Raw genomic sequence first — 15,475 nt, 5'->3', positions numbered from 1 at the left:
AGCCATGACTCAATGGCATCCATGGTAACTTTAGAAATAATTTAGCCCAATGACAGCCAATTAAATAAATACCACTTATAAATCAGTTTGTTTTAAAACTCCGTCTTTGTAGTTCTTCTTATACATCTTAATTGCTCCAACAGAGAATGCTATCTTCTGCAGTCTTTTCTCTTTTTATTTAAAGAAAATCAGATATGTTTCCTCACTAAATATTGAGAAGTAGAAATGCAAGGGTTGTAAATAACTTACTTTAATACCAAGGGCTGTGAACTTACTCAAAGACTAAAATTCCATGAGATTAAAAATACCTATGCAATAATTCTAACTGACTAACACTGTTAACTATTGTTATCTCATCTAGTTCTGTATTTTGGACTCCAGTTAACCTATATAAAACAAATTGGGCCGGGCGCGGTGGCTCACGGTTGTAATCCCAGCACTTTGGGAAGTCGAGGAGGGTGGATCACATGAGGTCAGGAGTTCGAGACCAGCCTGGCCAAAATGGTGAAACCCCCTCTCTACTAAAAATACAAAAATTAGCTAGGCGTGCTGGCGCGTGCCTGTAATTCCAGCTACTCCGGAGGCGGAGACAGGAGAATTGCTTGAACCTGGGAGGCGGAGGTTGCAGTGAGCCGAGATAGCGCTACTGCACTCCAGCCTGGACGACAGAGCAAGACTCCGTCTCAAAACAAAACAAAAACAAACTAACGAATGCATTCCATTCCTTATAAACACGATAAATTATCTATACCACTTAAAAAGGTCTGGAAAAAATTCAAAACAACTGCTTAGAAGTTAATTCAGGAAAACCACGTTTTTCCAATTTTGCTTGATGCATCTTACTTCCTATCAAATGCCTGCAACAATGAGCTAAGCTTGAAGGTATCTAATGATACTAGAACAAAATTTCCTATAAAATCCAATTTAATCTCATTACAATGCATATAGTAACGCACAGAAATGAAAAGATTTCTATGATTTTCTATTTAGAATTAAACCACCCCAGGGCAACAATGATTGAGATTAGAAAGGTGGTGCCACGTTCACGACCTTGCATCAAAAAGTAAGTCTCCCTCCCGAAACACAGAAAAAAGCTGCTATTGAAAGGGCATCTCGAATCACCGTCTCTGACACCGTGTGCGTCATTGCTCTAGTTCTGACTTCTATCAGCGGGCTAGGGAAAGAGACGGACGCCCCTTTCCCCGATAGAAGAGCCCAGGTACCTGAAGATGCAATGTACACATGGCGTGGAAATGGAAGAAAAAGAAGACACCGAGAGTTAGGAGAAATGTGGAGAGAGGTGACTCATGGACAGAGCCAAACCTGGCAGGGAGAGGACAGAAAAAAGGCAAAAGAGGCAACCAGAGACAGACAGAACACTGAAGACACAAGGGTGTAAAGGGCAGAGACAAAAGGACAATAGAGACGGGCCAAGATTGAGAGGCGTCCAGAATTTTCGGGTTGGGTAGGGCCAGAGAAAAGGGCCAGTATTGAAGCCGGCTCCGAACGTAAGCCCAGCCAGGGCTCCTGTCATTCTGGGTCCTCAAGAACATCTGGGAATTCTCCAACTGCCGTCGGCCTGGCCTGAGAGTCACCTGCACATTTTTGGAGATAGAGATAAGACAGCCCCACTCTCAAGAGGCCCCAGAATTAACGGGGCCAGATTAGAGCCTGCACTTACCAGGCCACAGCGGCCCGACGTAGTCGCCACATCCCGCCGGCGGGGAGGTCACGCAGGCGCCGAGACGGCCACGCGGGAGCCCCCGTGTGAGCCCCAGCCCGGCTCCCGGTCCAGGAATGACCCAGGAAGTGGCCCTCAGCAGCAAGGGCACAGAGCCGCGGCCGAGGCCCTCCCAATGGCGCATGGACTTCCGCAAGAGCCTGACAGGCACCCGTACTCAGTCCGTCACGGAAACAACCACTTCACCCTTTCTAGGCGGGCAGCACGAACGGTCCGCGGAGGACCAGCGCATGCGCACAGTGCGTCGGGAACGGACTGGAGCAATCCATCGCCTCTCACGGGGCCCCGCCCTCTTGCTTCCGATTTGGAATTCGGAATTAGCCTTGCAGGTTAGAGATTTGGCCAGGGGAGGGAGCGAGAGTTGGGCGGGAACGGGAAGGGCTAAAGGCGTGGAATGAGAATTGATGAATGCTCACCGGGAGCCATGAATTTATTAAGAGTTGGATATTGAGGGAGCACGAAGGAAACTAGAGAGTGCAAGGTGAAATACAGTAATAGCGTACTACAAACTAATGCTTGCACATTTGCCTACCTTCTTTCTTGGGCATCTTTGTTTGAAAGCACTTTCACATCGTTAGGGCAATCATGGGAGGTGAGAAGCAGGACGAAGAGTCATGGATAGGCTAAGTCCCTTAGAATCTCTGAGGATCAGATGGGAAAGGGACTTAAATCAGTTAGGCCAGTAACGGGTTTGGAATAAGCTTGTGTGGTTTATAAAAGGCGTCAAAATGATTTGTTCAACTGTTTCTTCCGGATTTTAAGCCCACCAGTTTGTTGAAATGGTCCTCGTCAAGGCCTCCACCAGCTCCCTATTGTTTGTGGCCAGTGAGCCTGCCACAGCATTCAGTTCAGATGCCTAGTGCTGAGCACTCCTTCAACTACTTTTTCTTTTGGCTCTCTGGCCATCACATTCTCCTTTTTCCCTGGAACTGCTGCTCCCAGGCTTCTTTGATGGCTCCCCTCCCAAATTTCTCAATGTTGGACAGGCCCAGATCTCAGCCATCTTGAGCTCCTCTCCTCCATCACTTTAAATACTCCTTTCCCCTTCCAACACAAACCTTTTATGTTTTGTAAGGAAACCAGGGCCCGTAAAAGGGATGTGGCCTGTGAACGGTTATGAAGCCAATTTTTAGGGACTAAAATAAAAGGGTCCTGTGCATCCTCTTTACTTCAGGGACCTTTCACCTCCTCCCCACTACCCGCCCCCCACCCATGCCACACACATACACAAATACACAGAGCATAAAGACAATTCCTTTTCCCTTAATTGTCAGAATCATAAGTCTGGACCCATGCACTCACAATACCACCAAGAGTAGACCTAGCCATTGATAGTAAACTTCCCAAATGCAGGACTCTTAGAATTTTCTTTATTTATTGTGGTGACTGTTTCAATGGCAGGTCCAGAGAGCAATTTGCTGTACCAACCTGTGCAAACTGTAGATCTTCCTGGGATTGTAGGGTTGTACAAAAAGTGTCTTTGTAATCGTTACTTCCTTGTTATTTTAGAAAATAAAATAAGAGAAACCAAGAGACTTTAACAACAACAACAAAAAAGAAAAATTAGGGATAAAAGACTTTAACCATAAAAAAAGGAGAAACTAACCACCATCACCATTTATATATGGTTATCATATGTTTTATGAAGCCCTTGTTTTGCAGTTCTACTTCTAGGCATTTATCCTGTGGAATCATTCCCATGTATGCAAAGATGTATGCATGATGATGTTTATTTCTGCACTGTATGAAATGGGAAAAGATTGGAATCAGTATAAATGTCCATGTATAGGAACTAGACACATAAATTACATCCGTACTAGCCATGAAAACCTATGCTTTAGGTCTGTATGTCCTGATAAGGAATGATCTCCCATAGATACATAGTGTTGCCATGAAAAAAGGGCAAACTGTTGTATAATAAACTGCAACCATTGGACCAAATTCAGCCCACAGACCTGTTTTGTTTGGTTTAGACAGTGTTGGCCTATGCAGTGTTTTAAAAATAACACTACATTTGGGCTGGGCATGGCGGCTTATGCCTGTAATCCCAGCACTTTGGGAGGCCGAGGAAGGCAGATCACGAGGTCAGGAGTTTGAGACCAGCCTGGCCAATATGGTGAAACCCTGTCTCTACTAAAAATAAAAAAATTAGCCAGCTACTCGGAGGCTGAGGCAGAAAAATTGCTTGAACCCAGGAGGCAGAGGTTGCAGTGAGCTGAGATTGTGCCACTGCACTCCAGCCTGAGCGACAGATCGAGACTCCGTCTCAAAAACAAACAAGCAAAAAAATGCTACATTTGTTGCCAAATAAAAATCAACAAATTTCACATTTTAAAAAATCACATAAAAATATCAGGATGCCTAACAACATCAACCTTCAATTCTTATATACAAAAAATGTCTCGGAACCAGGAGCCAAGTAGTAGTTTTATCCTTCAGGCACTCATGTCCTCTCCGGTAGTTCACACTCCTTCATCTTTCTGAAATTGAACACATCAATTACTGTTTATCATGAAGCTTGTGCTTCTACTTTTCTTAGTAAAAATTAAGAGGAAAAACAACCACTACTTATATTGAAACTGCCTTGGCAAAATTATGACAAGAGGAACCTGACATAGTTGACTCCATCTTGCTTCTGACCTCCAAGCTGTCCTTGCTCATTCCTGGACTTAAGCCAAATGAACTTTGGGGAGGAATGTAGTTTATAGTTTAACTTGAAAGAAAGGATTATAATAGTCCCTTCCTAAAGCTAACTCCCTCGTTGCTCAGGAACCAAAAACCACCTTTGTAAGAAAGGCCAAGAGAACAGGATCATGAGAGGGGCCTGAACTGTGCTAAGACGTAGGTATGGTTTCTATAGTCCCTTACTGCTCAGGAATCAATGTGGCCAGAACTCACAAATCTTATGACTTCCCCAATTGCTCCTATAGATAACATCATTACTATAGAATCTAAGACTGCTTTTTTGCGGTATATTTCAGACTCACCCCATCGAGACTTATGACTCATGACTCAAGTGATCCTGTGGCCCCGCCCAGAGGTGGACTCAGCACACAAGGAATGTTTTCCTATTATTTCATCCCCAACCAATCAGCAGCATCCATTCCCTACCCCTTGCCCACTAAATTGTCCATAAAAACCTCTAACCTCAGAGCCTTCAGGAAGATTGATTTGAGTGACAACTCCAGTTCTCCTGCATAGGCTGGTCTTGAATCAGTTAAACTCTTTTTCTACTGCGATGCCCTGGTCTCAGTGAAATGATTTTGTCTGTGCAGTGAGCAGGAAGAACCTGCTGGATGATTACAATATGAAAAGTGAGAGAAAATGAAGGACTGAGAGGGTCAGCCATTTCCAAAACAATGAGAAAGAGCTTTTTTTTTTTTTTTTTTTGGCAAAAGAACACAAGTATGCAAGTAGGCAAGTAAAATTATATGAATAAATTATATGAATACAATTTAATATGACATTATACAACAGACATACTTGCATTACTCATTTATGTTACATGCCTAACCCACGAAAATATTTGAGTTGATAAGCCCTAGTGAAGGGCAGAGTCAAGGAAGGACTTGAAGTTAGTGGGTCATGAGTGGGAGGGAGGCTTACATTTATTGTAAACCCTTTTATACTCTGAACTTGTGTATTAATTACTTGTAAAAACATGTTAAAAATATTTTTCTGATCCAGAAGTCATGAAATAATTTTACTACTTTAAACTAAATTTTCCAGTTCAGCTGGGAATTGAGCAATTCACCAGGTAAAACTCTAAATATTTACCTTAGCAGGAAAAGGGACCCTTTTCAGAATTATCCAACGAATCAGAAATTTTCAGAAAGGAAGGTAATGAGAGATGTTAATGGAAATGGAAATGTTTAAAATTGATTTCATAAGTTTTATATTTAAATTTATACATAAAAGCTTTTGCAAAGTTCTTCTTGGGAGATCTCCAAGTTCCTTAACACTACTCTTTGTGGTTTCCTGGAGAAGCCAATAATTAGCTGAAGTCATACATGTTTGCACCATCATCATTATCAAACTCTCCCCAGCCCTCAGAAAAGCATGTTATAATCCTTATTAACAAACATTTACAGTCACTTCCTATGAACCCTAGTCGAGGATATAAATACATATATATACACACACAAATTATATACACACACACACACACATATATATATATTTGGTTTTTGTTTGTTTGTTTGTTTGTTTTGAGACAGAGTCTCACTTTGTCGCCCAGGCTGGAGCGCAGTGGCACAATCTCGGCTCACTGTAACCTCCACCTCCCAGGTTTAAGTGATTCTCCTGCCTCAGTCTCCTGAGTAGCTGGGATTACAGGTGCATGCCACCATGCCTGGCTAAGTTTTTGTATTTTAGTAGAGACGGGGTTTCACCATTTTGGCCAGGCTGGTTTCAAACTCCTGACCTCAAGTAATCTGCCTGCCTCAACCTTCCAAAGTGCTAGGATTACAGGCATCAGCCACCGTGCCAGGCCTGAGGATATATTTTTTTAAAAAGAGTAAACCACAGTTCCCACCCTCAACTAACCATGGTTTGGTTAGGAAGACAGACATACATAAAAGGTAAACATTAATGTGAGGTAGTACAAGCTGAGGACCAAGTAATGGGTAGCAACAGTTACTACCCACAGAGGCAGACTATAGTGTCATAAAGTGGGCTCAAAAAAGATAATCCTGGAGAAACAGAAAAGGATGAATTTGTAAAGAGGGAAACTGAGGGTCAGGAAGACTGGATAGGGGGCTGTTGAGAAAGTCAAGTGTGAGGGCCCTTAACCAAAGCCTGGTAATGGGAAGAAGTGAGAGATTCTTTGAAAGGATACTTCGGAGTATTTAAAACAATGAAAAGCTAAATGAAGAAACTAGGAAGAGGAATCAAAAGATAATGGGGTTGAAGCCAAAGTCAATTGACATTATTAGTAACAGTCACAAATATAGAAAAGCTGATTACAAGGGGATGATAATGCTGGCTTTGGAATGATGATTGGTGCTGAAGTGTGAATGGGTTATTCAGGTGGCAGTTAGAAATCAAGCTTTGGAGTTCCACAGGGAGATGGGGCTTGCAATACAGATTCGAGAGTTGTCTTTATAAAGGTGAAGCTTTGGGTCACATTAACCTTTGTGAAACTGTGCAAGAACTTGAAATTGTTTGTTAATGATTAAATCCACATTATTTTATAATGTTTGTTTATTTATTTATTTTGAGACAGCGTCTTGCTCTGTTTCCCAGGCTAGAGTGCAGTGGTGTGATCATGGCTCACTGCAGCCTCGAACTCCTGGGCTCAAGTGGTCTGCCCTTTTCAGCCTCTTAAGTAGATGGGACGGCAGACATATATCACCATGCCTGGCTAATTTTTAAATATATATATATATTTTCAGACACTGGGTCTCCTATGTTGCCCAGACTTGTCTTGAACTCCTGGGCTCCAGAGATCCTCTTGCCTCAGCCTCCCAAAGTGCTGGGATTATGGGTTTAAGCCATATTTTTGGGATTATGGCATAACCCATAGTTTTTACAATTTTTATACTTTTTGTATATTATGGTTTATATTTTTAAGACTAAATATATTACATTCAGTGCAATAATGCAAGAACAAGAAATGTAAGGCATAACATTTTCAGCTGATGTGACTGATTACATAGAAAATCCTAAGAAATTAATAAAAAGCAAACACCAGAAATAGTGAATTAAGGAGGGCCTCAGAGTACAAACCCAATGTAAGCAAATTGTGTTTCTATATACTTGCAAAAACACCTGTGCAGATATCAGATCTTAATCCTTGGAACTTGTGAATGTTACCTTACTTGGAAAAGGGCTCTTTGCAGATGTGATTAAGTGAAGGATATTGAGATGGGGAGATTATACTAGATTATCTAGGTAGGCCCTAAATGCCATCCAATATATTCTTATGAGAGGGAGATTTTCACACACATATTCAGAGCAGAAGGCAATGTGAAGACAGGCAGAGTTTGGAGTGATGTAGGCGTAAGCCAAGGAATGCTGGTAGCCACCAGAAGATGGAATAAGCAAACAAGGACTTCTCCTTTAGAGCCTCCAGCAGGAATGCAGCCCTGCTAGCACCTTGATTTTAGCCCAGTGATACAGATTAAAGACTTCTGATCTTCAGATTGTGAAGAGAATACATTTCTGTGGTTTTAACCCACCCAGTTTCAGGTCACTTGTTACAGCAGCCATTGGAGACTAATATCACCTGGAAATTAAATGAAAAAATGTCATTCACAATAGCATTAAAAAACCATAATATAATTAGCCATAAATTTACCAAAGATGTGCAAAAGCTCAACACAGAAAACCACAAAACATTGCTGAAAGAAATTGAAGACTGTAATAAATGGAGAGATATACTGTGTTCCTGGAATAGAAGACTCAGTATTGTTAAGATATCACTTTCCCCCAAATTAGTCTATATACTCAATCCATTTACAACACAATCCCAGCAGACACTAATTATAGAAATTAACAAAATATTCTAAAATTTATATAGAAATGCAAAGAGCTCAGATTGATGCCAGAGCATTTATAAACCTACCCTACCTCAATACTTATTATAAAACAATTGTAATCAAGACTGTGTGGTATTGGCATAAGGCCAAATAGATAAATGGACCAGAATAAAGGGTTCAGAAATAGGTCTCTATTTCTGCAGTCAATTGGCTTTTGACAAAATCACCAAAACAATTCAACAGTGAAAAAAGCCTTTTTAATGAATGGTGCTGGAACAACTGGATATCCCTATAGAAAATGTATACTATACACATACTACACACAAAATTTAGTATAAATTTATACCATACACTAAATTAGTAAGCATGCACAAAAATTGTATAAACTGGGACATAGCCCTAAATGTACAAGTAAACACTATGAAGCTTATTGAAGAAAATACAGTATCTTTGCAAAGAGGAATAGGCAAGGATTTCTTACGTCACGGAAGGTAACACCATAAAATTTTTAAAAAATCATTAATTGGACTTTATCAAACTAAAATACTCCTGCTCACCAAATAACACCAATGATAAGATGAATAGGCAAACCTCAAATTGGAAGAAAATATTTTTAGAACGTATATCTGACAAAGGATTTATATTCAGGATATATAGGAAATTCTTATAATTCAATACTAAGATGAACAATCCATTTAAAAATGGGCAAAAATGCAGACATTGCACAAAGGACGATATGCGTGTGTGTGTATATGTGTGTGTGTGTGTGTGTGTGTGTGTATGTGTGTATACATATACAGATATATATATATTTTATATACATATTTGGCCAATGAACACAAAGTGCTCAATGTTATTAGTCATCGGAGAAATGAAAATTTTGTCGAGGATGTGGAGCAACCAGAACTGTCAATAACCGATGGCAGGAATGTAAAATGGCACGACCACTTTGGAAAAATATTTGGCATTTTCTTATAAAGTTAAATATACACTTCCCCTTTGGTCTAACCATTCCACTCTCAGGGATTTATCTAGGAGAAGTAAAAACGTGTTCATGGAAAGTCTTGTACAAACATGTTCATAGCGACTTTTTCACGGTAATTGAAAACTGGAGCCAAATGAAACGTGCAGCAGTGAGAAAATGAAAGGAAATTTACACAATGAAATACTCCTCAACAACAAACAGAATGACCTGCGGATACATGTAACAACACGAATGAATCTAACAGACGCGCTGAACTCAAAAAAGAATGTACCATATAAACATTTAGAACAGGGGTGTCCAATTTTTTGGCTTCCCTGGGCCACATTGGAAGAAGAATTGTCTTGGGCCACACATAAAATAAACTAACAATAGCTGATGAGCTACAAAAAAAAAATTGCAAAAAACCCACAAACAAACCTGATGTTTTTTGTTTTGTTGTTGTTGTTGTTGTTGTTATTTTCTTTTGAGACAGAGCTTTGCTCTTGTTGCCCAGGCTGGAGTGCAATGACGCGATCTCAGCTCACTGCAGCCTCTGCCCCCTGGGTTCAAGTGATTCTCCTGCCTTGGCCTTCTGAGTAGCTGGGATTATAGGTGCCTGCCACCACACCCAGCTAATTTTTTTGTATTTTTAGTAGGGATGACGTTTCACCATGTTGGTCAGTCTGGTCTTAAACTCCTGATCTCAAGTGAGCCACGAACCTTTGCCTCCCAAAGTGCTGGGATTACAGGGGTGAGCCACCGTGCCTGGTCAAAACTGATAATGTTTTAAGAAACAGTAACAAAGTTTGCGAATTTATGTTCAGCTGCATTCAAAGCCATCCTGGGCCGCATGCAGCCTGCAGGCTGCAGGATGGACAAGCTTGATTTAGAGCATCCATTTATATGATGCTCTAGACCAGGAAAAATAGATATGGAGAGTGGGGAGGAACATTGGGGAACTTTCTAGAAACATGGGAACATTCCATATCATGATAGAAGTCTCAGTTACATGAACACATCCATTTGTCAAAATGTATAGCGAAGATTTGTTCATTTAAAATTGTAGATTTGCATGTGTACATTTTACATTAAAAAGCTATGAAGAATGATTACATGAGGAGGATGGGAAGTGGGTAGAGGTTAGATGAAGCAAGAATCACAAAATGTTAATAACCATGGAAGCTGCCCAGTAGGTATATGAGAGTTCATTATACTTTTCTGTTCACTTTGCATGTATTGAAAGTTTACATTAAACATTTTAAAATGTATCTTTTTTTGTTAAAAAAAAAAATAGAAGAAAAGTGAAATGGACCCAACAGAAGGCAGCCTCATTAGTATAGAGATGAGGAGCAGAAAATGAGCATAACAGGCAAAGAGCCTTGTGTGCTGTGTAGAATTGATTTCAGCTGGTATTCGTTTCCTATTGCTGCTGTAACAAATTACCCCAAATTAGTGGCTTAAAACAGAACAAATTTATTATCTTATAGTTCTGAAGGTCAGAAATAAGAAATGGGTCTCTAGGGAAGAATCCTTTTTTATTTTTCCTTCTCCAGTTTTGAGAGGCCACCCACATTTCTTTGCTTGTGTCTCATTTCCATCTTCAAAGCCAGCAGTGACTGGTCAAACCTTTCCAACACCACATCACTCCAATGCTAATCCTTCCACCTCCGCTTTCCACATGTAAGCATCCGTGTGATTTGATCAGCCTACCTAGATAATCGAGGATAATCTTCCTATTCTAGGGTCAACTGGTCAGCAAACTTAATTACCCTTTGCCACATGCACAGCTTCTGATTAGGATTCAGACTTCTTTGTGGGAAGCGTTATTCTGTGTACTACGCAGCTCCAGTGAAATTATTTTAATGATTTCTTTCTGATATGGAGTGTGTGAGTGTGATGGGTTGGGGAAAGGGGAGGAAAGAATCAGTTTATCCAGCCACACCTGAAACTAGCTGTAGTTTTCAAATTGTACTTCTAATCTTTGTTTAGAAATCTTCTATATTTATCATTTTTTAAAAGAACAATTTTTATACCTTTTCTGCAATCTACTGCATGTCACAAATTTCATTTTGTTTTGCAGTGACACTTTTGCCTTTTCCTGCTTTTTAAGTAGTTTTAAGGATTTACTCTTGAATTATAAAATTTGAAATATTTCCTTTACTTATTTTTATTGCTTTCTGTGCTTGTATCTTAGAGGTCAAGCTTCTTTCATTGTATTGAAATGCCAACTTATTGTCTGATTTTTTTTCTTGTCCCTGTAATAAATTCAAAGATACAATCTTCCTTTGGATCTTTCTACTGTAACAACTATTATGATTACATGCATAGTAAATACTGATTTAGTGTACCAGGTACTAGGCTACATCTCTGCATATGAGATCTCCTTCTATTATTTGATACAATATTTTTTACAGCTATCATCTTGTTTTTTCTTGTCATCTTACTATTTATTTATTTATTTTATTTTATTTTTGTTTTTCGAGATGGAGTCTGTCTCCCAGGCTGGAGTGCAGTGGCATGATCTCGGCTCACTGCAACCTCCGCCTCCTGGGTTCAAGCAATCCTCCTGCCTCAGCCTGCTGAGTACCTGGGATTACAGGCGCCCGCCACCAATCCCAGCTAATTTTTGTATTTTTAGTAGAGACGGGGTTTCGCCACGTTGGCCAGGCTGGTCTCAAACTCCTGATCTCAGGTGATCTGCCTGCCTTGGCCTCCCAAAGTGCTGGGATTACAGGCTTGAGCCACTGCACCCAGCCCCTTCTTTATTTTTATGTAGTAAAGTACGTATTGACCATAACTATGCCCTTCAATTCTGCTCCACAGTGATTATTCCTTTATGATACTGGCTAGAGGGTTTTCATTGTTATACATATATATTTTTTATATCTATATAATATACATATATATATTTTATATATATGTAATATACATATATATATTTTATATATATGTAATATACATATATATTTTATATATGTAATATACATATATATTTTATATATGTAATATACATATATATTTTATATATGTAATATACATATATATTTTATATATGTAATATACATATATATTTTATATATGTAATATACATATATATTTTATATATGTAATATACATATATATTTTATATATGTAATATACATATATATTTTATATATGTATTATACATATATATTTTATATATGTAATATACATATATATTATATATGTTATACACATATATAATATATATGTAATATACATATATAATGTATGTAATATACATATATAATGTATGTAATATACATATATAATATACATGTAATATACATATATAATATATGTAATATATATTATATGTATTATATATAATACATATAATATATGTAATAATATATAATGTACATATATTATTAATGTATACTTATAAGTATATACATGTATATATTATATGTACATGCATATATTAAAGTATACATATGGCCAGGTGCGGTGGCTCACGCCTGTAGTCCCAACACTTTGGGAGGCTGAGGCGGACGGATCACAAGGTCAGGAGATGGAGAACATCTTCGCCAACGTGGTAAAACCCCATCTCTACTAAAAATAAAAAAATTAGCTGGGCGTAGTGGTGTGCGCCTGTAATCCCAGCTACTCTGGAGGCTGAGGCAGGAGAATCATTTGAACCCTGGAGGGGGAGGTTGCAGTGAGCTGAGATCATGCCATTGCACTCCAGCCTGGGCCACAAGAGGAAAACTCCGCCAAAAAAAAAAAAAAAAAAGAAAAGAAAAGTATACATATGTAAGTATATATGTGTATATTATATATATATATATATATATATATGGAAGTCTTTTCAGGTATTTTAGTAATTAATTAGAAAATCTGCACCAGGGACTGCTAATCTAATATGTTATTGACTGAGAACATGTGACCCCATTGTCAGCATTCACACTGAAGCCTTGCTTCAGCTGTACCAACTGCTGAAGTGAGATGCATTCTCGGTTTATGTTATGTTTTCCAGACTTCTCTTTTCTGTCCTCATCGAAAAGACAGCCAGCTTTTGTAACCTTGCCTTGGGGATGTTAGCAGGAGAAATGTTGGCAATTCAAGGCTCTTCTGGTTTTATAAGAAAACCAGATTTTGCTGGGAGGCCTGGAGTAGAAGAGAGGGTCTTGGAGAAGCAAACATGGGAGGAGAGACATTCCCAGAGATCAGGAAGAGGTAAGTGTTTTCCCTTAAGTGTCCCTTCCTAACACTCTCTTGAGAGGTCTCAGGCGCCTCAATAATTCCTGCCACCTAAACAGAATCAGATTCATCAGATTCAAAGGGATTAGGAATGCTAGGAATTTGGGGGACTTCAGAGATTACCTGTGACTACTAAGCATAAGGAATTATTTTCTAGGCACGTGGTTATCACGTCCATTGCATTTGTATGGTGGAAACGCTATACATATAATGAGGTGCTATTGCGCCTCTCTTTCTAACTCTGCGTTCAGTGACATGTTGCTGGTATAGCTTGAAACTAGTCATGGTGGCAGTATTTCCACCATAGAAATCAGCACGCACTACAAATCAGGGCTTGATTTGTTTTTCGTTGATTGTCTAATCTTAAGAAAGTGATGGAAAAAAATAACACTACAGATTAAATTTTAAAGTGTGTTCTGTCTGTGGTTTTACATTGTGAATAACATACATAATTGAGACAATATTCTTTCAGTATTTGAACACTATTATCTAATTCAGTAAAGAAGTCTTGCACATCATCATTAATTTAAATTTTCCTAATGTACATCTTCATTGTTTTACTTTTCTCTTACTCACTAATGTATCGGAAAATACAACCCATATTCATGTCAGAGCTAAACTCATAGGTTAACGATGTGAGCAACTTCTTTGTTGAAATAGATAGGATTGATAGTAATGAAGCATTTATTCATAGTAAAATGTATAAGAAACTTATGCATATGAACACATCATTTTTGGAAGAGCCAGTTGTTAAACGATTACCCATACACCATTGTTTGAGCAGCACAACACTGCTTTTCTTCACTCTATTTCAACCTTCCCATCATTAAAAGCTTTTGCAATTTAGTTTTTTCTTTCTGTTTTGAAGTTTCTATGCCTCTTACAATTTATAATCTTTTAAGCCAATGTCATGTTCAAAACCGTACCTTTCCTTTCCTCCCCGCTCACCGGTTCTGAGGTTTTTCTCCCCCTACTCGCAGGTATTTTTTGCTCCACACTCTGGTTCATTTCCTCTTTGCTTCTGTTTTAGACTAAAAACATAATCCCTACCTTCATTCTATTCTGTAACTTGGCCTGTACAATAAAAAAATATATATACTAGGCTTTGAGTAATTCTGCATGGTGATTCTTCTTAGTAGTACGTATACTAGCTTGCTAGCACCCTCCTCTGTAAGAGTGAGTTGAATTGTGTGCCTTGCAGAAGGACCAGCTCCCACATCTTTGCTGCTCTTTGTCACAAGCTGTTGACAGTCTCCTTTCTCTCTCATACTTTGTATGGTCCTAAGAATCCTTGGTGGTAGGAAGGGCCAAGATAAACCAAGTTGAGGCTATATCCTGCTACAACTGCTATAATCCTGGTCCAACTCACAAACACCACCAGGACAATGGGACTTACTGTCTCCCAGTTTGGAGGCCCACCTAAACAGCAGTGGTGCTTGCATTTAGAGAAGACAAAATTAATCCACTTTCAGTAGTCAATTTACCAGGCTATATCAGCAGGAGAGGTTGTAGGAATCCACAGCTCTCAAGAAGCTCTTAATAAATAGATTGGATTCACATATTTATATAAAATAAACACACACGCTAGAACTTCTTCCTTTTTACTTTAACATATCCAGTTTACCACTTTGTTCCTTAACTGAAATAAAATTTAGGGTGAGATTTAGACAAGCAGAAAGAATGGGGAAGAAATACTGGAAGGATATGTGTGGTAGATTTGAGGTTCAATGCCATTTTAGGCATGTCCTTCTGTATCATTCTATTACCATGATGTTATGATATTTGCTAATATGTGTATCTCATTATAAAATTAGTTAACGTATGGGCACTTAGAGTAGTGCTTGGCACATAGTGTGCATTCAGTGATTCTATCAGTTGAGATAGAATGGGATATGCTGCTTGAGCAGGAGACGCAAGACCCAGGTTGTTCCCAGCTACACCATCTGAAACGTGGCTTCCAAGGTCACTTTGGAGAGCACGGATTGTCTGACATGATTTGTAAGGGCTGGCATAGAAATGACTTACTTCATTTCTCCCCACATCCTGTAGGCCAGAACCTAGTCATAT

General features: G+C 39.0%; 2 protein-coding genes across 21 annotated transcripts in view, besides 6 other annotated features; one reads left to right on the top strand and one right to left on the bottom strand.

The window, feature by feature from the left end:
• The window catches only part of OPA1 (OPA1 mitochondrial dynamin like GTPase), a 104,604-nt gene extending 102,721 nt beyond the window's left edge, over window positions 1-1,883 (bottom strand). For all 18 annotated transcript variants that reach the window (NM_001354664.2, NM_001354663.2, NM_130837.3 and 15 more), the window contains exon 1: window positions 1,682-1,883. Coding sequence is in view for 15 of the 18 variants with exons in the window: in NM_130837.3 (NP_570850.2) it covers window positions 1,682-1,713 (32 nt within the window). In the remaining 3 variants the exon portion in view is untranslated. The remainder of the gene's footprint in view (window positions 1-1,681) is intronic.
• Window positions 918-1,569: an enhancer, noted in NCBI's record as "H3K27ac hESC enhancer chr3:193311311-193311962 (GRCh37/hg19 assembly coordinates)". NCBI's record gives its function as "activates a minimal SCP1, AML or CMV promoter by ChIP-STARR-seq in primed H9 embryonic stem cells {active_cell/tissue: H9 hESC(primed)}" and the evidence as "EXISTENCE:reporter gene assay evidence [ECO:0000049][PMID:30033119]".
• Window positions 1,325-1,404: an enhancer, noted in NCBI's record as "active region_21003". NCBI's record gives its function as "activates an Ori minimal core promoter by ATAC-STARR-seq in GM12878 lymphoblastoid cells {active_cell/tissue: GM12878}" and the evidence as "EXISTENCE:reporter gene assay evidence [ECO:0000049][PMID:35858748]".
• Window positions 1,570-2,221: an enhancer, noted in NCBI's record as "H3K27ac hESC enhancer chr3:193310659-193311310 (GRCh37/hg19 assembly coordinates)". NCBI's record gives its function as "activates a minimal SCP1, AML or CMV promoter by ChIP-STARR-seq in primed H9 embryonic stem cells {active_cell/tissue: H9 hESC(primed)}" and the evidence as "EXISTENCE:reporter gene assay evidence [ECO:0000049][PMID:30033119]".
• Window positions 1,635-1,784: a silencer, noted in NCBI's record as "silent region_15009". NCBI's record gives its function as "represses an Ori minimal core promoter by ATAC-STARR-seq in GM12878 lymphoblastoid cells {active_cell/tissue: GM12878}" and the evidence as "EXISTENCE:reporter gene assay evidence [ECO:0000049][PMID:35858748]".
• The window catches only part of ATP13A4 (ATPase 13A4), a 194,153-nt gene continuing 180,649 nt past the window's right edge, over window positions 1,972-15,475 (top strand). For all 3 annotated transcript variants that reach the window (XR_007095757.1, XM_047449063.1, XM_017007319.2), the window contains exons 1-2: window positions 1,972-2,070; window positions 13,185-13,384. Coding sequence is in view for 2 of the 3 variants with exons in the window: in XM_047449063.1 (XP_047305019.1) it covers window positions 13,350-13,384 (35 nt within the window). In the remaining variant the exon portion in view is untranslated. The remainder of the gene's footprint in view (window positions 2,071-13,184; window positions 13,385-15,475) is intronic.
• Window positions 2,005-2,054: an enhancer, noted in NCBI's record as "active region_21002". NCBI's record gives its function as "activates an Ori minimal core promoter by ATAC-STARR-seq in GM12878 lymphoblastoid cells {active_cell/tissue: GM12878}" and the evidence as "EXISTENCE:reporter gene assay evidence [ECO:0000049][PMID:35858748]".
• Window positions 2,105-2,174: an enhancer, noted in NCBI's record as "active region_21001". NCBI's record gives its function as "activates an Ori minimal core promoter by ATAC-STARR-seq in GM12878 lymphoblastoid cells {active_cell/tissue: GM12878}" and the evidence as "EXISTENCE:reporter gene assay evidence [ECO:0000049][PMID:35858748]".

The sequence above is a fragment of the Homo sapiens genome, chromosome 3 (genome assembly GCF_000001405.40).
Source record: "Homo sapiens chromosome 3, GRCh38.p14 Primary Assembly".
NCBI classification, from domain to species: domain Eukaryota; kingdom Metazoa; phylum Chordata; class Mammalia; order Primates; family Hominidae; genus Homo; species Homo sapiens.
Note: the sequence above shows the minus strand (reverse complement) of the source record. Positions and strands in the feature narration are given on the sequence as shown.